Source organism: Homo sapiens, chromosome 22, assembly GCF_000001405.40.
Source record: "Homo sapiens chromosome 22, GRCh38.p14 Primary Assembly".
Taxonomy (NCBI): Eukaryota; Metazoa; Chordata; class Mammalia; order Primates; family Hominidae; genus Homo; species Homo sapiens.
Genome location: NC_000022.11, coordinates 36,757,295 through 36,779,481, shown reverse-complemented (window position 1 = coordinate 36,779,481; position 22,187 = coordinate 36,757,295). Strand labels below are relative to the sequence as shown.

The following is a 22,187-nucleotide window of genomic DNA, read 5'->3' as shown; positions in this document are numbered from 1 at the left end:
TTTCAGAATATCCTTCCCGACTCCCTCTCCATCCACCCAGGGTTAGGAATGCTCCTCGAGGTGTACATAGGGAGTCCCATATCCACCTGTGGCACAGTGACTTGTCCACATGTTGGTCTTCCTTTCTTTACCAAAGATCGTAGATGAGCAGCCCCCAGGTTGAACCGGTCAACAGAGGTTTCTACTGCAGCTACAGTGTTTTAAATTTAAGTTCATTGCCAACACTAACAGGTCAGGGGATTTCACACAAAAATCCAGATTCCTGGCTCCTCTAGAAAAGTGTGCAACCCTGGGCCCGTATTCCCACATTGCCGTGATATCTCACCCAGAGGTAAAGCCTGGGGCTCTGTCATCCCCACCCTTCAGTGGATCCAGCAACCAACACCATGCCTGGCTGATGGTAGGCACTCAAGAAAAGCTAATTAATGAAAATGGAGAGACTATGCTGGATAATGGGGGAAAACAAAGAAACAAACATTGGTCCCCAGAGTCAAGAGATCTGAGGCTGGTTCTGGATCTGGCTGACTTGTTGCATGACCTTGGCCTCTCTGTGGCTCTTTCCTTTCTTCAAATGAATGAGAGTTTCCACTTCCCAGGGTCATGGTTTCATACAGGAGAGAGGATGTGAAGTGCTTAGCAGATGCCTCACATCTAATGCTCAATCAACGCAAGTTATTACGGCAAGGAACTCAATAAGTATTTGCTCTTTAGGAAGGGTGAGAAGGAGTTCAAATCCATCTCTGCTACTCACTAGCTAGGTGACCTTCGGTGTTTCACTTAATCTCATTTGGGCCCTAGTTTCCCCATCTATCAAATGGGGATGATACATGGTTATTGTGAATATCAAATGTAAATGTGAAATTAAACTAATTAATCCCTAAAATCACTTAGAACAAGGCCAGCCTTAAGTCTGTGGTCAACATAGGCCAGCTGTGACTATTAGAGCTGCTCAGAAATGGGATAACTCGAATTGCTCAGGAGCCCCCATGGCTCCAAAATTCTCTGACCACCTTAAACCTAGTGACTCTCATTCAGCTTACCTTCAGTCACAGAAATGTATAGAAGGCCCTTGGGTCCATGAGGTGAAGGGGGACAGAATTCACCATACAAGTGTTTACCATCTCTCTAGAAAGTTCTACAATGCTCTTATGATAATGCTGACTAAAATCACACAGAGTAGCAGCAACAAAAGGGAGACAGTGGGTGGGGAACAGAGAACAGCCCTGGGAGGGAGGTGTGATTATTACCTGCAAGAGTTAAAGAAAGAGGCAAGAAACATGAAAAGTGGCTCAACAGTTAAATACAGGTTTATTTTGGAGCATAAACCTGAGAGGGGCTTCTGGCCAATTTCAGTCAGGAGTGCTCTCTCTTACAGACTAAGAGTATTTAAGGGTTTAGGGCAAGAGAGCTTACCACAGGCTTGGAATGTTTCTGTGTGGAGGAGAAGTTTACTGTGGGGTTGGAATGTCTCCGGTCTGAGGGTGGGTTATGTTGGGGCTGACATCTCTCTGACCAGAGGGGAGGTTATCTTGGGGCTGCATGTCTCTGGTCGGGGGGTGGGTTTATCTTAGGGTTGGAATGTTTCTGATTGGAGATGTCACTTGTGGTTTATGGTCATTCTGACATTAGCCATTAGGCTGATGCCCTTTGGGTTGAATTTAGGCCGTTTTTGATCAAGGAGAACTTTAAAATGGCAGTGCTTGTCCAAGATGGCTATGCTCCGGCTCTGTCATTACCCACCTCGCAAAATGAAGGAACCAAGGCTTCGGAGGCTGCCCTGATGTGTGTCTGTGTCTTAGCTACGTGGAGCTGCCTCGGGAGGGTGACTCACCAAATGGGGTCCTTTAAGGGATTAACAGGGTCACTCATGGTGAACAGGTTGGCCTGGAGGGGAGCCGGCAAGAGGAAGGCAGAAGACCAGAAAGAGGCTTTTTGCTCACTCAGACCTGGATGTCTGAGACAGACTCACGTGATGTCACCAAAGAAGAAAAGCAGTTACGAGAAATGAAGGAGAAACAGACCTTTACCGTAGCGCCAGGAATGAATCCCAAGGAAAGAACATCTCAGACAACTTGCATTTACTCTGGATTCGGGGCTGAAACCATCAGCCATTCATAGAGTGTGTGTGTTTATTCCCCCACACAAGGCTGGCAGCCACTCTGAGATGCAGAGTGGCGGAGAGGTGGAATGTTCTAGGTGTCTGGAGGGAATGTGGAACTTTCGCACAGGCACCTTTGCTGAGGGGCTGCTCTTCCCTTCAGCATCAGCCATCAGAATCCCAGGGGCCCTGAGAAAGTGAGAACAAGGGGTACATTCGGCCAACCAGTGACAGTGATGATAAACCAAATCTGTCCAGATAAGCTTCCGCTCTCCCATCCACCCCACAATCACGTGTGCACCTACTATCTCCCAGGCACTCATACGTTTCTCTCCTTCCATCTCCACAACCACCCCACAAGGCGGGTTCTCCTAGGCCCATCCTGAGGCTGAGGGATGAGGTGACTTGTCCAGGCCAGGGATTTAGGTCTCTGACCCCCTAACCACGTGCAAGAGGCACCCCCAACCCAGTAAACGCGTACAGAGAGCCTCCCTGGGTGACGGGCAAACGAGGTTAGTGATGCATTCTCCTTTTGCAGAGAGTAAATGGACTAAGAGCAAAGTACGACTTCAAGTTTCCGAGTCTCACCGCTTAGCCCCATCAAAGTGTATTTGTTCTCCCTTTGTTCACAAACATCACTTTAATAAAACACCTTCATATTTTAGATTTTAACGCTCATTACATCTTTGAGCTTTTAAAATGAGATTTCCCTGCGGGATGCGGGGCAAGGACTGCACTTCTCCATGCACTTTAATAGCCGCGCTGTGCAGAACCCGGGAACCGGGGAAGCCGCGAGAACCGCGCGAAGTCAGAGCAAGTCAAAACGACCTCTACAGCGGCGGCCTGGCCCACTGCGCAGGCGCCGCTCCAGACCGCCTAGAGCCCAACCTGCCCCATTGTAGGCGAACCCACTTCTAGAAGGACAGCGGGAGTGGCGAATCCCTATTCCTCCCGAAGATGGGTCAAGCCAGACTCTGACCAATCAGAAAGCTTCTCTTGTCACCGCTTCTGACTGCTTGACGTGGAGGCTTCTTTATCTCGGGACTCTCAGGCGCAGCGGGGGCGGGATATAAAGCTGGTTGACGTCAATTACAACCACTCGTCAAGCAGACTGAACTTGAAGAACTGATAACTCTACGAATTGCATCTCAAGAAAAGGCTGTTATCCCAGCTCTCTACTCCCATTGGATTTTTGTGAGACCTTGAGGGTGGGAGCTTTTGGCGGCAACCAATCGAGGGTCAGCGAGGAGGAGGAGGAGGCGGGGCAGGTGGGCTATGGTTGCTTGGAGAGTGCATCCGGCCCGGTACTTGTGATCGGAGGAGAGCCGGATCGTCCTTCCTTGAACCCTCTGGGTAGGGCTGTGCTGAGGGGCTGGGCGGGGAGCACAGGCCGTGTCCGCTCGCTTGCACCTTTTCAGACTGCCGTGTCAGGCCTCGAGCCGGGCCCACCTGGAGCCCTCCCCTGCCCACCCGCCCCCAGCGCCCGATATCCGCCCCCGGCCCAGAAGGGCCGGGCTCGGTCATCCCCAGTCCCGTCGCGGCCACTGACCCTTGAGATCAGCCCTCCCCTCCCCACCTTCCCGTCCCAGGCCAGCCCAGGGCCCGAAGCCCACCCACTCGCGTCTCTAGCAGCCGCTCTTGTCCTCTGGGTACGGCTCGCGGGAGTGTTGGTTACCATGGTGAAGCTGGCAGCCAAATGCATCCTGGCAGGTGAGTCTGAAAACTTGCGCTTGAATACGGTGGTCTCTGGAGTCCAGAGCCTTCATAATTCATCCAGAGCTTTTGTTCACCTAAATTGCCTACCTTTTCCTTTCTCTCTCCCAAAGGCGAGTTACTGCAATTACTGATACAGTAAATTACGTTAGGCGTGGAAGAATGATCTTCCAGGGCACTTCGCAGCTCCAGTGGATTTCCCCCTGCTCCCTGTCACATACTCTGAGACCACCTTCACCAGTTGAGGTGACTCGTTAAAAAATCACTAGTTACAACTCTGGAGAAGCAGACTTGTTAAAACAAAACAAAACAAACAAAGCTTAAGCAAACCTTGAGTGCTTCAGCTAAACATATACTGTACCCCAAAGTTAGGCATCAGTGACTTTGGTAGTCTTTACTATGGGATTTTTCCCCCGACCTCACCCCCTCTGATAACGGTGACCTGAGTGTAGTGACCAGAGTTTGCAAAAGGCACTTGTGTGTTGTCTTTAAGACCCAAAGTTACTGTGCTGCCCCACTCCAAGAAGGGCATAAATGTTGAGTCTCCCAAAGGCAGGAATCTTTGTTTTGTTGACTGATACATCCCAAGCACCCAGAACAATGCCTGGAACATAGTAGGTACTCAATAAATACTTTTAGAATGGATGAATATGTGAATATGTGGCATGCACATTTGTAGTGTACCCCTTGTATCAGTCTGCACATTTAGAAAAACAATATTTTGGATTATAGACTGCGAAACACATATGCATGTTACTGAGTGCTTACTGCATGTGAAGCACACATATTTCATGTAATCGTCTCACCATAGCACACTGGGCTAGGTACTGGATTGTTTTTCTTTTTTTTTTTTTTTTTTGAGACGGAGTCTCACGCTGTTGCCCAGGCTGGAGGGCAGTGGCGCAATCTCGGCTCACTGCAACCTCCACCTCCCTGGTTCAAGCAATTCCCCTGCCTCAGCCTCCCAAGTAGCTGGGATTACAGGCGCAAGCCACCATGCCCGGCTAATTTTTTTTTGTATTTTTAATAGAGCTGGGGTTTCACCATGTTGGCCAGACTGGTCTCGAACTCCTGACTTCAGGTGATCCACCCACCTCGGCCTCCCAAAGTGCTGGGATTACAGGCATGAGCCACTGCGCCCGGCCAGGTACTGGATTGTTCTGATCTTACTGAGGCACTGAGAGATGTCAGCCAAGGTCAACCCCTAGTGAAGGCCCTATGCAGGATTTCAGCCCCTAGATCTGGCCAACTCCAAAACTCTTAACTCGTGTTTCTGTTGAAACCTGTGACCTTTCCAGGCTTCCCTGGCCAGCTCAGGAAAGAAGTGGTGAGAAATTATATAGAGAAAAAGAGATTCCTGTTTTAAAAAATTCCCCTCTTCCAGACTGAGAATAAATGATAATATTTTTAATGGCTTTTATAATTTGAAAATAAAAGGGTCACACAGAAAGATGACTGACAGTAGTAACTGAATCATACTGGAGCAAAATAAATTAATGGTTCTCAGGAGAATCTCCAGTTTCCAGAGCACCAGAGGAGGCAGTGTTGTGTAACAAAAGTAATTTTGCCTGTTCCTCTTATTGGCTGTGTCATCTTGGACGAAGCACTTTTTGAGCTTTAATTTCCTTATGGATAAGGTGGGAACATTATTTTCTGAAGTTACTTTTTTTTTTAAATGGGCTTCTCTCTGGGTTCTTTTTAAATTCGGTTTTCATCATGGAGCTAACTTACTGGCGCTTTGGGTGCATCAGCTCTGCTAGACCCTCAATACAGGTGGTCTCATTGAATCCTCATAGCAACCCTGTGGGATTGGCATTATTGCCATCCTCATTTACAGATGAGGCAACTGAGGCCCAGAAAAATGAGAACATTTGCCATGGGTCACAGAGCTGGAAGTGGCAGAGCTGTATGATCCAGACCCTGGGTCCCAATCTGATTTCCAGGGCTTTAGCCCAAGCTACTCTGTCCTCAAGTAGTGCTCCTCTGTGTCCTTCTATTTTTTTTTTTTTTTTTTTTGAGACGGAGTTTCACTCTCATTGCCTAAGCTGGAGTGCAATGGCACAATCTCAGCTCACTGCAACCTCCACCTCCTGGGTTCAAGCGATTCTTCTGCCTCAGCCTCCCAAGTAGCTGGGATTACAGGCGCCCACCACCATACCCAGCTAATTTTTTGTATTTTTTAGTGGAGACTGGGTTTCACCATGTTAGCCAGGCTGGTCTTGAACTCCTGACGTCAGGTGATCTGCCCGCCTCGGCCTCCCAAAGTGCTGGGATTACAGGCGTGAGTCACTGTGCCCGGACCTTTTTTTTTGAGGCGTAATTTCACTCTGTCTCCCAGGCTGGAGTGCAGTGGTGCACAACCTTAGCTCACTGCAACTTCCACCTCCTGGGTTTAAATGATTCCCTGCCTCAGCCTCCCGAGCAGCCGGGGATACAGGCACACACCACCATGCCCAGTTAATTTTTGTATTTTTAGTAGAGATGGGGTTTCACCAGTTGGTCAGGCTGGTCTTGAACTCCAGACCTCAAGTGATCCACCTGCCTCAGCCTCCCAAAGTGCTGGGATTACAGGCGTGAGCCACCCACTATGCCCGGCCTCTTTGTGCCCTTCTTTACCCCCAACTCCCTTGGGTAGTTCTTTCACCTGAGTGCAGCCACTGCCTAGTTAGTGGCTCCTGAACTCCAGCCTGCGCCTCAATCTGCAGCCTCTTTTCAGGGATTCCACAGCATTTCCTCTTGGAAGTTTCCAGGGACCAAAAGACCTCAGCCCAGAAATCAGCCCCCTCTGACACCTGTCCACCCACCCCCACCACACACATGCCATTGGTTTTATTTTTCCATCCATGACCCACAGCCCTACTGTTTAAACTGAGTTACTCTGTTTTTTCTCTCACATAACTGGTCATTGAAGGACCTGACGTTCAGTTCAAGTGTTTATGCATTGAACAGATACTCGCTGAGCACCTACTACGTCAGAGTCACCGTGCAAGGTGCAGTGGGCCTGCAAGCATGAGTCAGTTGCACTCAAGGAAGAACTAAGATGCGTGTGATACGTTCTAACACAGCGAACACAAAGTGAATGCCCTTTGTGTGCCAGATGCGGGGAAATGCCTCCAGGCACAGCTGCTACTTGTTCTGGTTCTGGAGAAGAAAGAAAACAACATTTGACATTGATCTGTATTTTGTTTACTTTTAAAAAAACACTTAAATAGTACTTATATATGCCAGGCACTGTGCATATTAACTCATTAAATCCTCATAACAATTCTGTGGGGTAGGTGCTATGATTATCTTAGGTTATACATGTTGCAGCTGAGGCACAGAGAGGTTAAGTAACTGATTTAAACTCACACAGCTAGAAAGTGATGGAGCTGGAGTCTGGCTCCAGAGTCTGTGCCCTTAAGTACCATAATATGCTGCCTCTTGATATACATGGAGATGGTAATAGAGCCTCCTGGGAGGGTTGCTCTGACATCACATCGTGCGCTACCACTGAGCAACGATCCACGTTAGCCACACAGATAAAGATGAAGGAGGGAGAGATGGCCTTCAGAGGCTGTGCAGGAAGGGTATTCTTTGAGCTTTCCTTGCAGAGAATGGACAGGATTTGAATTTGGTCTAGGGGTACCTGGAAGGAGGTGGCCTTGAGGAATTTCCAGGGACTGGGCGAACAGGAATGCAGAGCCCAGATTTGGGGTAAGGGATTACTAGGGAGAGAGTGGGAAGGTGGGTTAGGGCTGACCGTGGAGATGGGTAGGCTATGAAGGAATCCTCAGTGGGGTTTGTGTGAAGGTTTGCCAAGATGGAGGCACTGTGTCATGGGGGTCCACCTGTTGATGCCACCCACTGGGTGGATAACAGCCGGGAGAAAAAAGAAGAGAAAAGAAGTGTTCAAGGCACAGTCGGGAAGACAGAAAACGCAGTCGTCATTTCAGCAGAGAAATTTTAATGTATGGAATTGCTTCATCAAGTGTTGGAGAACTGAGGAAGCAAGAAGGCAGCATTGAGTTGACACAGATTGGCGGGCAGAGGTCGGGGTTGTCAGAAGCTTGAAGAGACCCAGGGAGCTGGGATCCGGACCCCTGAGGAAGGGGCCCTGCCCGGCTGGTCCCGGCACCTCAGGAGTTCAGTCACCTGCCGCGTGACCCCAGCACATGCCACAGAGCACCAGGACCCATTTCCCACTGGGAGGAGCCCAGCCCTGTGTTCAGGGCAAGACACACCAAACCAGTTCCAAACCATCCTGGAGGGTCCATGTTTTAAGACCACTCCTGGTACCAAGGACTACATAAGTCAGGGGCCAGGCAAAAACCAGCAACTCTACTCGGCATTTCAACAGTGAGGATTTCAGTAGGATGTGAATGACACTGGTGCTAGAGGACTGGAAGAGGAAAAGGGGGAAACTGAGGCAGCACGGGTAGTAACTGCAGGAAGGAGCACCACCTCTTGGGCTGGGGAAGCAGAGGGAAGCATGTGGGGCTCTCAGCCCAGAAGCAGGGAGGAGGGGCCCTGGGAGCCAAGGTGTGGATCTCTGAGAAGAGGGCACTGCCCGCTGGCGCTGTTTCCTCTGGGGGCAACAATAAGCTGGTCTGGGAGTAGGGAAACACACACACACACACACACCCCAAGACAGGAAGCAGTTAGTGCTGCTGGGGTGCAGGCCATTGCTAGGGTAGTACTAAGAAAAAGGAGAAGCAGGCGGGAAGAGCAGTGTCCTCTCCCCCGACTCCAGCCTTCCCTTCTTCTTCCAGAACTCCCATTGGCAGAGCCTAACAGGAAGCTCCTAGCAAGGGAGAAATGTGTCTGCAGAGGCCCCTCCCCTGCACACTGTGGAAGGATGGGCTTGGGGCTGAGATAGAAACCCAGCAGTGAGGCTGAGCTAACTGGGGCAGGGTCAGCAGGGAGGGCCGAGCAGAGGTGGGCTGAGACTCAGCCAAGGATGTGAGGAATGCAAGGGAGGCTGCCTGAAGATGGGAGGAAGGAGGAGGAGCAGTCAGAGGTGACCCGTTGAATCTGGGGACGATGAAAACACACGGTGGCGTCACAAACAGAAAGCTTGGGTGATGGGGGCAGCCCACTCAGGACCAGGGCATGACGGAGCTTGGCTGTAGACAGACTGAGGTTGGAGGAAGGTCCTTCATTCTAGTGGCAACGCACACGGGTTTTTGGATATACAGACAAAGCTTGGGAGGGAGATCCTGCCTTCTGTCAAGGTGATGAGAGTCAGTGGGACGGAGTGGACTAGGAGCAGAGCGCCGCCGATGACAGGCCCATGGGAATGCCCACACTCGGGGGGCAGAGGGGCAGGCAGATAGCAGGAGAACCAGGCCAGGGCAGGGTCACTGAGGCCACGGGGACAGGACTCGGGAAGGAAGGGGTCACTTCAGGCTGACTCACATCCTTCAGAGAAGTCAAGGAGGATGAGAACCAAGAAAAGGCCATCGGCCTTGGCAACTGTGAGGTCACAGGTGATCTCGCATCGTGCCCTTGCAGACGTCATCCTCTCTGTCCTGCAGCGCCCTGCCTGCTGTCGCCCCCAGGCCCAGCCCTTGCCCCTAGGGAAGCCTCCCTCCCCAGTGAATCCTCTCATTCATTTCTTTTCTCGATGCTTCCCAGACGCCTTGCTTCTCAGTTTGTGCTATTTGAATTTGCACTTGTCATCCTGTTGCTCTGCAAATGTGTTTATCAGTTATTTCACCTCCCTGTGCTTCTGAGCCCTCATAGCCAACACAGGCGGTTTCCTGTAAGTGTTGGTGACTCTGACTGACAGTCAGAGGAAAGATTTATGAAATTAACCAGAACAAATCTGTGAGGAATCTCATAAGCAGGAGGAGCCAACTTCCAGCTGAATTCAGGAGCAGAGCTGAAGTTGGGAGGGCGGGTGCAGTCAGGGCCCAAGGAAGGAAAGCGATGCGCTCTGTTTGCTCCGAGATGGGTGGGTACCCCTTGACAGTCTAGGCTGTGGTTGCCCCAGATGTCATGGAAGGCGGTGAGGAGGGCTTGGAGGGACAGCATTAAAAATGGGTCAGAACTCACTTCTGTAATCCCAGCACTTTGGCAGGCAGAGGCAGGCAGATCACCTGAGGTCAAGAGTTTGTGATCAGGCTGGCCAACCTGGTGAAACCCCGTCTCTACTAAAAATACAAACATTAGCTGGTCATGGTGGCGTGCACCTGTAGTCCCAGCTACTCGGGAGGCTAAGGCAGGAGAATCACTTGAACCCGGGAGGCGGAGGTTGCAGCGAGCCTAGATCGCACCACTGTACTTCAGCCTGCGTGACAGAGACTCCATCTCAAAACAAGAAAAGTGTCAGAAGTGGTCCCTGAGCTCTAGGAGAGGAGCAGGGCCTGGGAAGAGCGTGAGGTTGGAATCCTGGGCGAGTTACCCAGCCTCTCTGAGCCTCAGTCTCTTCATCTGTCAGGTAAGGTGAATGATACCTTGGCGGGGAAGGAATGAATGGGATTGTGTGAACAGGTCCATGAGGGGGGCTCAGCACATATTGGTTCCCTTCTAAGGAGTGATGACAAATAGAAAAGCAGGACCTGAATAGCTCACTCAAACCTGGAGGAGTTCACATAAAATGAAATGCCACAAGCATTGAAATAATTGTCTTACAAGGGAAAATTATAGGTGGGAAAAGTCAAAACTGAAAAGTGAACAGTGGCAGACTGTTGAGAAGTCGAGGAAAGGAGTGTTGAAGCCGACTGTAAAATGGGAAGCAAAGGTGAAGAGATGGTACCAAGTGATGTGAGTTGGAAGCCGCGGAGGGCGGTGCTGATTTTGCTAAGGATCCAGAGGATGAGAAGCAGAAAGCACGTGTTCTGCCAGGACCTGGACGGTGGAGTGCAAGTCCACGTAAGACTCAGGAGGAAAAGAGGCTGCAAATGGAAACAATCAGCATCAAAGGAGGCTCAGCAGAGCCATGAGAGGGAAAATGGGGAGGGCAAAGGGAATTAAAGATGGGCAGGGAGAGCTTCCAGCACCCGTGACGGGCACGGGAGGAGCGCTCGATTAAATGGCTCCCAGCAGTCTTGTGAAAGGCTCAGGTCTCAGACTGAAAACTGCGACATAAACCTTTAGTTCTGAGGGACCAGTTTCTGGGGCTGTTGACCAGCAGAGGAGAGGGAGATAAAGCCAGTAGGTGAGAGATGAGCTTGGAGGAGGTGACTGCTATTGCAGATAGAATTGGTGGAGAGGCCCCTGGGAAGAAGAATCCTTGGGTCACAGACAGGTATTCTGCGATGGAGATGGAGCATAGCATTTGGAAAGAGATTTCAGAATGATGAACACAGCCTCAGACTTCTTGCTTCCCACAAATGCAGAGACCCTTCCACCCCCCACGCCCCACACAAAAAAGTATTCAGGTGGAAGCTGTCAACCCAGGTTGGGTCAGTTGGACAGGTGACTCTGCCTGTCAGTGCCAGTCACACTTCTTTACCTTCAAGACTTCAAAGTAAATTCCAGTTTGGAAGTGACAGCTTTTCCCCATAGGGCGTGTTTCAGTGGAAGAGCGTCAGTTCCGTTTCCAGGGCCCCAAAGCCCTCTGTAAGTTCTGTTACCTTCTGGGTCAGTTCCTGTGGATAAAAGGCTTAGCCGTGCAGAAGTGTGCTCTGGCTGTTGTGAGGTTTGCAGATCAGTCTCATGGACCTGTGCCCTGCCCGCGGCCTCAGAACAAGTTCCCGTGAGAGGCAAGTACATCTCTCAAAACTCATTGAAGTTTTTGGTTTCTAGACTAATGTTCTGCAGCGGGAGATTCTCAAGTCAGATGAGAACTAAGGCGTTCTTTTTCTTCTTTTCTGATCTCACAGGAGACCCAGCAGTGGGCAAGACCGCCCTGGCACAGATCTTCCGCAGTGATGGAGCCCATTTCCAGAAAAGCTACACCCTGGTGAGCTGGGGTGTCAAGACCTGGCCACAGCTTATAGAGAAGTGCTCGGTTCACCATGATGAGTGACTTCGAAGTTCCTTGAGGGAAGCCTTAAGACAGCTGATGAAAGGCTGCTCAGAGGGCCACGTGGAGATCGTTTTTTCCACTAGCCCAGGGTGAGAGGTTGGCTACAGAGCAGAATGGCCACAAGCAACTTGGCCACCACGTGTAGCAGCTCACATCAGGGCAGGGAGGTGGAGAGGACTAGTTGGTCCCCTCTGACTTCTGCATGCTGAGCTGCTTCTCACAAGAATGAGTCCAGAACAAACCCTTCCACTGGAGATAGCCCTCCTGGGATCGGGGTGCTTGTGTGTCCTCCTGTAACATGCTCTCCCTTTGGGGGCCCTCAGTGCTAACATTCTTGGTGTTCCTCGGCAGACAACAGGAATGGATTTGGTGGTGAAGACAGTGCCAGTTCCTGACACGGGAGACAGTGTGGTGAGTGATGCCTTTACCCAGGGGAACTCAGGGCTCCCCCAGCTGGGCCCAGGGTCTCTGTGGTCACACCATCCTCCCTAGGAGAGATGCAGTGCAAGGCTGTGGTCTAGACTTGGCTGAGCATTTCGGAATAGAATCGGGAAGCATTCAAGGGAGGGACTGAGGAGGTGGAGGAGGAAGGAAGGAAGGAGGACTAGGAGATGGGCCTGGCCCTTGAGGAACTTGTTCTCTACTATCAAGGTTCTTGAGTCTCTTTATGGGAACCTGGGGCTCTTGAAAGTGAATTGCAAGACGTTATGTTTGTGTGTGCTTTTCTAGAGAGAGGGTTTGTAGCTTTCACCAGATTCCTAAAGAGGTCTGCGAGAAAAAAAAAAAAAGTATAAGTACTTCTGATGAAGAGAAAGGTGAGTTCCCAGGTAACCAATATGCAAAACAGACAATGGTGCTGATGTTTAGACGGTGTATGCCAGGGATCAGAGGCCAGCCAGGAAATACCCAGTGCCAGGAGGGAGCTTGTGGGGGAGCCGAGGGGTGATTTCCTAGGGGACCAGCCCTGGGGGTTCTCACATGGGCTGGGGAAGGTTTGGACAGGGCAGGAAGGGTCATCCCGCACCCTCTGTCTGCCTCACACCTTAGCCATCCCAGAAGGGTGACAGAATGTCCTACTTTAAACACCTTCCCCAGGCCTACTCAGTGACCTCCTTTAGAAAGAATTGTTCTAAGATTTGAAAATCAATTTGGTTAACAAAGTGCAGAATGACCTTTTGGAAACCAGAGCACTCACCGGCCTGTTTAGCATTCTGTTCTGCCAGGTGGGAAGTCAGCTTGTTCCTGGTATTTTTGCACTCAGGGTTACAAGAGGTGAGACTCCACACAGAAAGTGCTGGTTGGTGCGAGAACCCGTCGTACTGCCTCTCTAAGACTCTGGAGTTCGCTCCTTTCCCCTTCATCTTCTCTCGTGCCTGGGAGAAAAGACAGAGCATGTGTGAAGATGTGGGTGCCTGTATTTCACCCCTAAGACAAGTCCAGTGTGAGTTGAGAGTGATACCAGTGACTCGTAGCTTGTGGTTTTTCCACGTGGAGACTTTTCTTGCTTTTCTGATTGTAGGAACTCTTCATTTTTGACTCTGCTGGCAAGGAGCTGTTTTCGGAAATGCTGGATAAATTGGCAAGTAGCACGTGGTCTTTTTCCTGACTGTCACCACCTCCTGCCAAAACGTTTACCCCTGACAGTGCTCACACAGCAGTTTCCCTGCACTGTGCTGTTGGGAAGCTCCCATGGCATTACTCTTTAAGGGGCATTCCTCCCAGCCCAGGACTCATGGATACTTGGCAAGAAGGAGTGGCTGATGCGTGTGACTGCCCGGGCCCCAGCTCTGGGGTGCCCAGGATCCAATGGGCCAAGAGCCCTGCGGCTCGGTCCTTGCAGCCCTCCCCCTGTGAGGCCTCCCTTCTTTAGAGCAACACTGTCCTTTCAGATGGTGTCCCCTACCTCCCAAGACAGTACAGACTGCCTCCTCCCCCTCTGGGAAGTGCTGTAGAGGCCTCAGCCTATAACGAGGCTCACTTTCTGCCGTTCCACTGGGGTTTGCTCTGGAACATGCCCCTGCTGCTGCCCAGGCCTCACCATGCCCCATCCACCCCCGTCCCACCAGCCTCGCAGGATCCACTTGCTGTACCTTCCACGGTAACAGTCTCACTAATCTGGGCCAGTGAGCTAATTAGAAGGTTTGAGTTCTCCAGAGCCCTCCCCTGCCTTTCCAAGAACAGCCACATTTTAATGGGAACAGTTTTCTGCCCCTTTTTTTTTGTTGCCTAAGAGAAGTAGATCTAATGATAGTGATTTCATACAGGGTTGGCTTCATGCATCGGTTCACGACGTTCACCCCAATTGCCTACCGTGTGCATGGCCTGGCACTGGGGCTGCCATGCCCAGCAGAAGGGAAGATGTATTAGGGCAAATCCAGGCCATGTGCCACCCGTCAGCTCACACCCTCCCCTCCAGCCGGCCCTGACTCCTGGTTCACCCGCTCTGGCTTTAGCTTGATGCCAGGCCTCTCCAGGACCCCCTCACTGAAGCCTGGAAGAAGGAGGATTTCTTGAGTTAAAACCACGCTGAAGTGTCTCCTGCGTGCATGTAACAGAGCTCAATGTGTTCTAGCAGGAGTTCAAGAGTTAATCTGTGGAGTGAAGGGTTCATCAGTTTAGTCCACGGTCCTCCCATCCCTGACACTGCCAGAAGCCAGCACAGCCTTGTAGGGTGAGGAGGAGCCCTCCAGAGTGGAATCTGGGCCCGCCTTCCAAGGATCTGAAAGGGAATCCAATCTGGAGGGAAAAGGATTCTCTTCTGTACCCTGGGAGGTTACTGGCACCCCGGAAATAAACCAGGTCCTAATTGTGCGAGGTTGGGGGATCCAGAAACCAGAGCATGGCCAAGAGTCACGAGCACCAGGGTGCGCACCCACAGCCTGTACAGGGCCATTCTACATCCAGGGGCAGGCAGCAGGACATCCCAGGACTCTGAGCAGCCCCTGAAGGCGACAGCCCCTGAGAGTGTAGCCTTGGCTCTTAATTGGGTCATGGAGCCCTGTCCAGTTGTCAGTGTGGTTTGGATTAGGCTGATGCAGAGATGGCAAGAGAAGCAGAAAGTGCCCTCTGCATTTTAACAAGCCAGCCCTTATTAAGAAGATGCAAGCAAACAAGCTTCCCAGGCTGGCTAATGAAGAAAGAATCTTCTTTCAGGGCTGCAAAGCACAAAAATGTAACTTGCATGGTGGTGGGCTCTTGATAAGAATGAGTGGAGAATGAATGAATGAGGCCAGCTGCAGGTGAAAGCAGATTGTTGGGTAGAGAAGAACTCAGTCGTCCCCCATCTCTGTCATCGTTGTCTTTGTTTTTAAAGCCTGTCAGGCCTGGACAAGTCACTTACCCTCCCTGAATTTGGTTTCTTCAGCTACAAAGTGGAAATATTCAGACACTCTACCGAGTTGGGAGGTTTCACAGTGAGGCACGGAAGTGCCCAGCAGAGCCTGGCCCAGACATGAGCTCTTGTCCTTGGCGGCACCGCCCCAGCCCTGCCTCCTGCCACTGAACGTGGCCCTCCGTTCATTCCTTTGGGGAAATTGTTGGACATCTGGGGGTGTGGCTGTTTTCGTTTCTTGTTTCCCTCTGCTCCCCATACCCTTTCCCTTGGAAGGCCAAATTGTCTCCCAGCCTTGAAGTCACTTTTCCTGTTACTGACCCATACTCATCCTGTCCCTCTTGCACAGTGGGAGAGTCCCAATGTCTTATGTCTCGTCTATGATGTGACCAATGAAGAATCCTTCAACAACTGCAGCAAGTGGCTGGAGAAGGCTCGGTCACAGGCTCCAGGCATCTCTCTCCCAGGTACGGGCTGCAGACACCCATGTTTCCCAGCGGCATCTCTGTCCTTTGGTTCAAGAGCACAAGGGCATTGCAGAGGTAGCTGTGGGTGGAGAAGGGGCCCTGGGCTTGGACTTTGATGGCCTAAGGCGTACACTGGCCCTGCCACTTAGCAGCCATGCCAACCTCGGTGAGTCACCACACACACCTCTCCCAGTCTAGGAAACGGGAATGAGGACACGCACCTGGCAGGGCTGTGGGGAGACTCAATAACGGGAGGGTGCTGTAATATCAGTTGTTAATTCCAGAAAGCTAACCCCAGGGAAGAGTTCCTAATTTTCTCTTGTATATGGGGTACAAGTAAACATTCAAGCCTGTTGTCACTTCTGAATGCTTTAAATCAGTTTATTTTTCGTCCCTATGTGAGATCAACAAATTCTCCTCATTATAGACCGGGGAAAGTGATCTCCAGAGACAGGCTCAAAAATTAGCTGCAGCTGATGCAGCTGGGAGCTGAACTAAATTACCTCTGAATCCCTGACTCCGAGCCGAGTCCTTAGATTACTATTAATGACCAGTTTACAGTTTGCTCCGTGTGCTCAGAATTATTACAAAGGCTCACATAAATTTGGCCCTCGCCTTCAGGCGTTTGCAGCCCTTTAAGGAGGCAAGGGAGACAGATACACGTGAGGTCTAGAAAAAGACCTAGCAGAAGTTGTGCATGAAAAGCGAAGCCCACCTGTCTCTCTGTGGCCCTTGGGGCCATCACGAGAGACCCCCGGCTTTCCCTGTGGGGGGGCTCACCACCTCGAGTCAGGCAGCTCTCAGAGGATGCTTTACACCCCTCAAAAATAGTGCTCTCATCTCGCCCGCTGTCCTTCCAGAGTGTGACAGTGAAGTGCCATATTTTGGTTGTTTCTTCTGAGTAGGTGTTTTAGTTGGGAACAAGACAGACCTGGCCGGCAGACGAGCAGTGGACTCAGCTGAGGCCCGGGCATGGGCGCTGGGCCAGGGCCTGGAATGTTTTGAAACATCCGTGGTGAGTATTTCCACTTGCCTCGTCGCCAAGTCTGGAGTGGGCCTCTGCTGGCAGCGGTCTTGCACATGACCTCACGTGCAGGGAGCTGTTATTCCACCATATGCAGAGTCTCATTTGGAACTGATGTTTACATTCTTACCCGAGATCTCTTCTCAGTATAGCAGTAGCTGCTCAGACATAACAGGAAAGCAGATCAGCCAGCCAACCCTGGGAAAAGGTGTATCTCAACTAGTAAGAAATACAAGTGCTTTGTGTGCGGTGATCATGACCCTCGACGTTTGCATGCAATATTCTGGGTTCAGATGTTGTTGGAACATTGTTTCATGTGGCTCTCACAACCAGTCCTGTGAACCAGAAGTTGGCCCCACAGCTCCCATTCCAGTGTTGAGGAGCTCAAGTGACTTGTCCAAGGTCCCATGATTAGCGAAGGGTGGAGCCAGGATTAGGACTCATGGCCTCTAATTCCCATCGGTACCACCCATCCTCACCTTGCTGCAGCCCCAGGGTGACTCCAGGCCACAAAGTGCCTGCCAGTTAAAAGAGCAGAAGACCTCATTACAAAAAGCAAGTGATTTTCAGCGTCTTCAGTACACTTTTCCTGGCAAAAACTGCAATTACTTTTGCACCAACCTAATGTATCATGATTTTAGCTGTCCAGCACTGAGGAACCTGCTTCCTGTGTTTGGGAGTTTTAAAGTCCCATCCTCCTTGAGGCCAAGATGCAGCCATGTGACCCAGGCTGCACCAATCAGACCCCTCACATGAGACTCCACTAGGAAGGGCATGAAGTGATGATCTGCCCTCTAGGAACAGGTGTGGCCCTGAACATCCATCTCAGAGCCAGCAGGGGCCCGAGTGTTGGTTGCCCTGCCCCTCGCCAGGGTTGCTAGCTGGGGAGATCACCAGGCCTGGCACAGTCATGGTCGTAACTTGGACCTCACCTTGTGGCCTTTAGACCTGATTCTGTGGCCCTCAGAATTGAGTCATGGGCTGGTTAATGTTCTGGAGGTCATCTTCTGCTCCAGCTTGACTTTGGCTCTAGGCACTTCTGCTATTGCATCTAGGAACCTTGACCAGTGCTGCCGTCCGAGCTTATAAAACTCCCCCAAAGCAGCATGCTTCCTTAGGGAAAGTACAGCAGTAAAGGCAGGCACTCTGACCTCCCATGGTGAGTGGCAGAACTCGCCGTGGGAACCTGGACATGTTATTTCACCTGTTGGTGGCTCAGGCTTGTAAAGTGAGGATCATAAAATACATCCCTTATCGAGTAATAAATATGAGAATCAAGTAATATGTCGCATATAAAACATGGATCACAGAGTCTGGCGCCTGGTAAACACTCAGTAGATGTTAGCTTTCTTAAAGTATAAATATTACCCCTAGAATCTTGTTTATACTGTTATTACTTACTAAATCCTTGTATTCATGGCTTGTGCAGAGATAAATATCACCCTTGCCTCTGGTCCAATTATCACAAATGCTAAATTAATGAAGCCCAAATCAGCTTTTCCTGTATAGAGGGTTTGCCATCTTTTCTGCAGCACACCTTTGTGCAAAGCAGTAGGCGGTAGTGCCCTAGCAAACAGGATTTCAGTATTCTCCCTTCCTCCATTCATTTGTGAAATTGTCCCTGCACCCCAATATTCCATATTCCCTAGAACGCTTGATAGAACTCAGAAATTAAAACCCACCCCAACCTCCAAAACAGGAGTCACCAAAGGCCAGTGGGCTACGGGTTAAACTCTGTTGAGGTGTTGAAGTGGGTGGGTGGGTGTGAACTACTCTTGAAGAGGCTGCAGTAAGCACTTGCTATTATCTGTGCAAGTTAACTAGTCCCCCCTGAGTTGAGGCTCACAGAAGCACCGCTGGCAGCTCGGTTAAGAAAGCTGTAATTAAAAAGGAAATATAAGCAAACGCAGCTTGAGACGCAGCCAAGGGCTGGCGCCAAGCTCATCTCCTCCTCTCTTCTGCCTAAACACCGCAGTGACCATCCTGCCTACCCAAAGGAGGTCCCTACAAACAAGTGCAAGAACAATCCGCGCTGATCACTGCCCTCCCAGGCAAGCGAGGAGTGGGGAAGTAACGTTTGATGAGGGCCTACTGTGTGCTAGGTGTTTTGCACACATTATTTGTTTAGGCTTCATAACAGCCCTACAAGGTAACACTCCTGTGTTGTATAGATGACAGACTCAGAAAGGTTGTGTAGCTTGCCCTGGTTGCATAGTTAAACGAGGGCTAGAAACAGGACTAGGAGTCAGGCCTGTCCAGCTGGAAAACTTGGGTTTTCTAGAAGGGGTACCCTGGCCTCCTGCGGAGCCTGCTGTGGGACTCTGCAGAACACAATTCAAGGCCAGACTGAACACTAGCCTGAACCTGCCCTGAGAATCCCTCTAAGCCGACCTACTCCACAGCTGTCCTGACTGTGTAAGCGAGATGATGATTAGTGATCAGACGAAAGGATTCCTGTCATTGGTAACCCTCTCAAAGTATTTGGAAAACAGTTCAATTTTCATCTATTTCAGAAGCACGCCGTGGTGTCTATTGAGGCTCACCTGCATTGAATTCCTTCCTTTTTATGTTGCGATCTCCCAAGATTGCATTGTGGAGTGTTTTCGAATCCATTTTGAAATCCCCGTGCGTGCGCTATGCAGGCCTCAGTCTTTTTCCATTCCATTCTTAACTCTACTTTCGACGGAAGCAGTGTTTTACCCCGACACTGGCTTGCCTAGGACCTTGTGCTCTGCACAACTAGCAGGGCCCGGCAGGATGTACTGAATTCTTGCTCTCGTGTCCAGCTGGACGGTGATGGCTTTCAAGTCCTTGGCTGTTGGGAGCTTACTATAAATGTTCGTCTTGGCTACAAACTCTCCACTCTTTCCTCGGCACTCTCTCAGCATTGCCACCACTGTCTTTCCTCTTGGCCAACTGTTTTCTTTACTTAGGCTTTCCCTTGCTAGAAAGTCCAGGTAACTTTCTCCACGGGACCTGGTTTCCTTCGCACATCCCAGCTGGCCTCGAGGAAAGGTAGCTCTTCCCAAATCAGAGAATCTGGATGCTGGGCTGGGCTCTGCACCAACCAGCTGGGCCGCTTCACCCGCTGGGCCCCAAACTACTCATCTGTGAAGCGAAGGCACCGCGCTTGATGCCTTCTGCAACGTTCTTCAGTTTGGAAATCCTTCTGTTTCGTTGGGGATATTTCACGGCCTCTTCTCAAGGTTGCACTTTTGCCAGCTGCCAGGGATCGTCTCAAAACAGGTTCTTAGTGCATTCATAGCTTGAGCTGCTGTCTTGAAAGTAGTACATTCCTTTTTCTGCCAACTTTTTTCTGAGAAAGTTTTTGAATGCACACGTGCACCCAACAGAGTGAGAGTGGCTGTTAAGAGAGAGGGCGCCATTTCCTTTGCCCTCCAGCCTGTCCCTGTGCACCCTGGAGGGGCCCGTTTTTTCCACCGCTTAGATAAAATCTAGGGCAAGTTCCTGAACTTCTCTTTTCTCTCTCAGGTAACAAAAATTCTTTTGGGCTCCTTTAGTCACAAAGATATTCACGATTTCAGGTATTAAAGTGCCCAGCCCTGGGTGATTGTCAAAATTCTGAACTTGATTTAAAGTGGCACCTCCTCTCACAGTCTTCGGGAGGGAGAGACCGGAGCCAGGAGTGCAGCGTGTTTGCTGGGGTCTGTCGTGGCCCACTCCACACCTGCTGGGTGGATCCGGCTGGTGCCCCATGGGCGCCTCTGAGATGCCCCTCCCCACCCCATCAGTGGCGCTGTCTCACCTGCAGGCTGCTTCTCACAGGTGGTCCCCCCTCACTCCTCCTGCAGCCCCAGTTCCTGGCTGTTCATTCTTATTGGGACCCGTCACCCTCCTGGAGGCGGTCCCAGCCGAGCCCCCTTAAGACAGCACCAGGCTGGCTCCACTTGGCCCCCGCTGGTTCAGGGAAGTGCTGCTGCAGCCGTTTAGTTTGACAAAGGAGGCAGCGAGGCCGTCTCATTGGTAGCCCTCTCCTGGCTTGCCCAGCCACCACCTCACCTCGATTCCTCCCAGGCCTGGGTCCAGCACCAGCCTAGGAAGAGGGTGCCCCATGCTGTCTAGCTCTTCTTCGGGATGGGGGGCTCCAGGTTCCTTGGTATTTTGCTTTGGCCTTTGGAGCCTCAGTCAAAACTGAGGAAAGGTGTCATTTTCACATCTCGTCACACGTACAGTGACTGCAACTAAAAGCACAGGCTTTGTAGAAACAGACATGGGTTCAGGCCCCAGCTCCACCATTCACAAGGTGTGTGGCTTCCTGCAAGGTACCTTCATCTCTGAGTTACCTGACTCCATCTGAGTTTCCTTCTTGTAAAACTGGCATCCATGAAAGTGGCTACCTCGAAGGGCGTGAAGATGAAATGAGGTGGAAAGTAGGTAGCCCCCGAATGAGGGAAGCATTGAGTGAGAGCTGGCCCTCTGACCCTTCTAAAAGAACACAGCCAACTTTTTAAACTGTCTTTCCAGAAAGAGATGGAAAACTTCGAAGCCCCTTTCCACTGCCTTGCCAAGCAGTTCCACCAGCTGTACCGGGAGAAGGTGGAGGTTTTCCGGGCCCTGGCATGACGAGCTGGAGCAGATCGTGCTGCACAACCGGAGAAGACAGAATTACCTCTGCTCTTTTAATATATAATGATGGCTTTAAATAAAATTAGGAGAAAATGTCGAAGCAGCAGCTCCTTCCACTCTTGGCCTGGGTGGCCCTAGTTCCACTGTACACTTTGGCCACTGCGTCACTGCCGGTTCCAGGGCAGCCGGGAGCCCCACTTGGGACCCTGGCCCTCCCTTCTGTGAGGCTGGTGCTTCGGGACGTCGCCTTGCTCGAGGGGGTGGTCCTGCCCACTGCGCGGCAGGGTGCACCGGCTCCTTAAAGGGCCTCCCACTGCAAAAGCGAAGCCCGCAGTGGGTATTGAAAGGGCCTGGCCCAGCGTTTGCTTACGGTTTCCCACAGCTGAAATGCCCAGCTCAGAACCTGTCCCAAGGCTGAGATGGGGCTGATGGCCCCCTTATTCTGACAGAGTCCGTTCTGCTGCTTGCTCCTGGCTAGCCAGATGCCAGACCTCCCTGGAGGTAGTTCCTGTCACTGGCAGAACAGTGCCCTCTGCCGGCCTTCCTTGGTGCCTGTCTCTTGGTGGCAGGTCCAGCCTCTATGGCTGCAGGGAAGGCTGAGCGCAGGGAGGCCAGGGCTCCTGCCTGCCTCGGGGAGCTGGGCAGCTGGCATCATTATTTGCACTGAGCTTGACTGTTCTCCATCCTGTCTCTGCTGCCAGATTAATCTTCTAAAACACCACTTTCATCGTCTCACTCCCCTGATTAAAGACCCACAGAGGTGCCTCACCACCTTTTACATCAGGATGCCGGCCAAGGTCTGGCATCCAAGGCCTTCCCTGACTGTCACCTTCCCCCAGGGGTCTCGGCTTCTTTCAGCCCCCGTGCCCCAGAGGACTTCATCACTCTCCCTCCACAGGAGCTAGGGGTGTCATGCAGAGTGCCAGCGTTGGGGTGGACGGACCTGGGCCTGTCCCAGTGATAATGGCAATAATGGAAATTGCCCTGGTTCCTGTTTACGACCTGCCATGTCT

At 51.2% G+C, this 22,187-nt stretch overlaps 1 protein-coding gene and 1 long non-coding RNA gene across 6 annotated transcripts in view, besides 7 other annotated features; one reads left to right on the top strand and one right to left on the bottom strand.

Moving 5' to 3' along the window:
- Window positions 1,971–2,534: an enhancer, noted in NCBI's record as "H3K27ac hESC enhancer chr22:37172992-37173555 (GRCh37/hg19 assembly coordinates)". NCBI's record gives its function as "activates a minimal SCP1, AML or CMV promoter by ChIP-STARR-seq in primed H9 embryonic stem cells {active_cell/tissue: H9 hESC(primed)}" and the evidence as "EXISTENCE:reporter gene assay evidence [ECO:0000049][PMID:30033119]".
- Window positions 3,062–3,321: an enhancer, noted in NCBI's record as "active region_18939". NCBI's record gives its function as "activates an Ori minimal core promoter by ATAC-STARR-seq in GM12878 lymphoblastoid cells {active_cell/tissue: GM12878}" and the evidence as "EXISTENCE:reporter gene assay evidence [ECO:0000049][PMID:35858748]".
- Window positions 3,062–3,663: a biological region, named in NCBI's record as "OCT4-NANOG-H3K4me1 hESC enhancer GRCh37_chr22:37171863-37172426".
- Window positions 3,100–3,663: an enhancer, noted in NCBI's record as "OCT4-NANOG-H3K4me1 hESC enhancer chr22:37171863-37172426 (GRCh37/hg19 assembly coordinates)". NCBI's record gives its function as "activates a minimal SCP1, AML or CMV promoter by ChIP-STARR-seq in primed H9 embryonic stem cells {active_cell/tissue: H9 hESC(primed)}" and the evidence as "EXISTENCE:reporter gene assay evidence [ECO:0000049][PMID:30033119]".
- On the top strand, window positions 3,363–21,271 carry IFT27 (intraflagellar transport 27). 5 transcript variants are annotated; one of them, NM_001363003.2, is made up of 8 exons: window positions 3,363–3,451; window positions 3,688–3,808; window positions 11,620–11,699; window positions 12,117–12,176; window positions 13,285–13,344; window positions 15,446–15,563; window positions 16,469–16,578; window positions 21,073–21,271. In NM_001363003.2, exons 2-8 carry the CDS (start codon window positions 3,775–3,777, stop codon window positions 21,169–21,171), a joined length of 561 nt encoding a protein of 186 aa, NP_001349932.1. In that variant the 5' UTR covers window positions 3,363–3,451; window positions 3,688–3,774; the 3' UTR covers window positions 21,172–21,271. The 5 variants fall into 5 exon arrangements, 4 of the variants coding, with proteins under 4 accessions (NP_001349932.1, NP_006851.1, NP_001171172.1 ...); NM_006860.5 differs by having other exon boundaries at window positions 3,363–3,808; window positions 11,623–11,699; NM_001177701.3 differs by having other exon boundaries at window positions 3,363–3,808.
- Window positions 3,562–3,611: a silencer, noted in NCBI's record as "silent region_13672". NCBI's record gives its function as "represses an Ori minimal core promoter by ATAC-STARR-seq in GM12878 lymphoblastoid cells {active_cell/tissue: GM12878}" and the evidence as "EXISTENCE:reporter gene assay evidence [ECO:0000049][PMID:35858748]".
- Window positions 3,742–3,801: a silencer, noted in NCBI's record as "silent region_13671". NCBI's record gives its function as "represses an Ori minimal core promoter by ATAC-STARR-seq in GM12878 lymphoblastoid cells {active_cell/tissue: GM12878}" and the evidence as "EXISTENCE:reporter gene assay evidence [ECO:0000049][PMID:35858748]".
- The window catches only part of CACNG2-DT (CACNG2 divergent transcript), a 63,214-nt gene continuing 53,419 nt past the window's right edge, over window positions 12,393–22,187 (bottom strand). The window contains exons 3-4 of the long non-coding RNA NR_134623.1: window positions 12,961–13,138; window positions 12,393–12,533 (exon numbers count right to left, since the gene is read on the bottom strand). This is a non-coding gene — a long non-coding RNA (CACNG2 divergent transcript). The remainder of the gene's footprint in view (window positions 12,534–12,960; window positions 13,139–22,187) is intronic.
- Window positions 12,414–13,613: an enhancer, noted in NCBI's record as "CDK7 strongly-dependent group 2 enhancer chr22:37161913-37163112 (GRCh37/hg19 assembly coordinates)". NCBI's record gives its function as "activates an origin of replication core promoter dependent on BRD2, BRD4, P300/CBP, MED14 and CDK7 cofactors, with strong dependence on CDK7, by STARR-seq in HCT116 cells {active_cell/tissue: HCT116}" and the evidence as "EXISTENCE:reporter gene assay evidence [ECO:0000049][PMID:35650434]".

Coding starts and splice junctions, on each gene's coding strand:
- IFT27 (NM_001363003.2), top strand. CDS start 3,775: ATGGTGAAGCTGGCAGCCAAATGCATCCTGGCAG. Junction 12,177..13,284: donor CTGACACGGGAGACAGTGTG/GTGAGTGATGCC, acceptor TTCTGATTGTAG/GAACTCTTCATTTTTGACTC. Junction 16,579..21,072: donor AATGTTTTGAAACATCCGTG/GTGAGTATTTCC, acceptor CTGTCTTTCCAG/AAAGAGATGGAAAACTTCGA.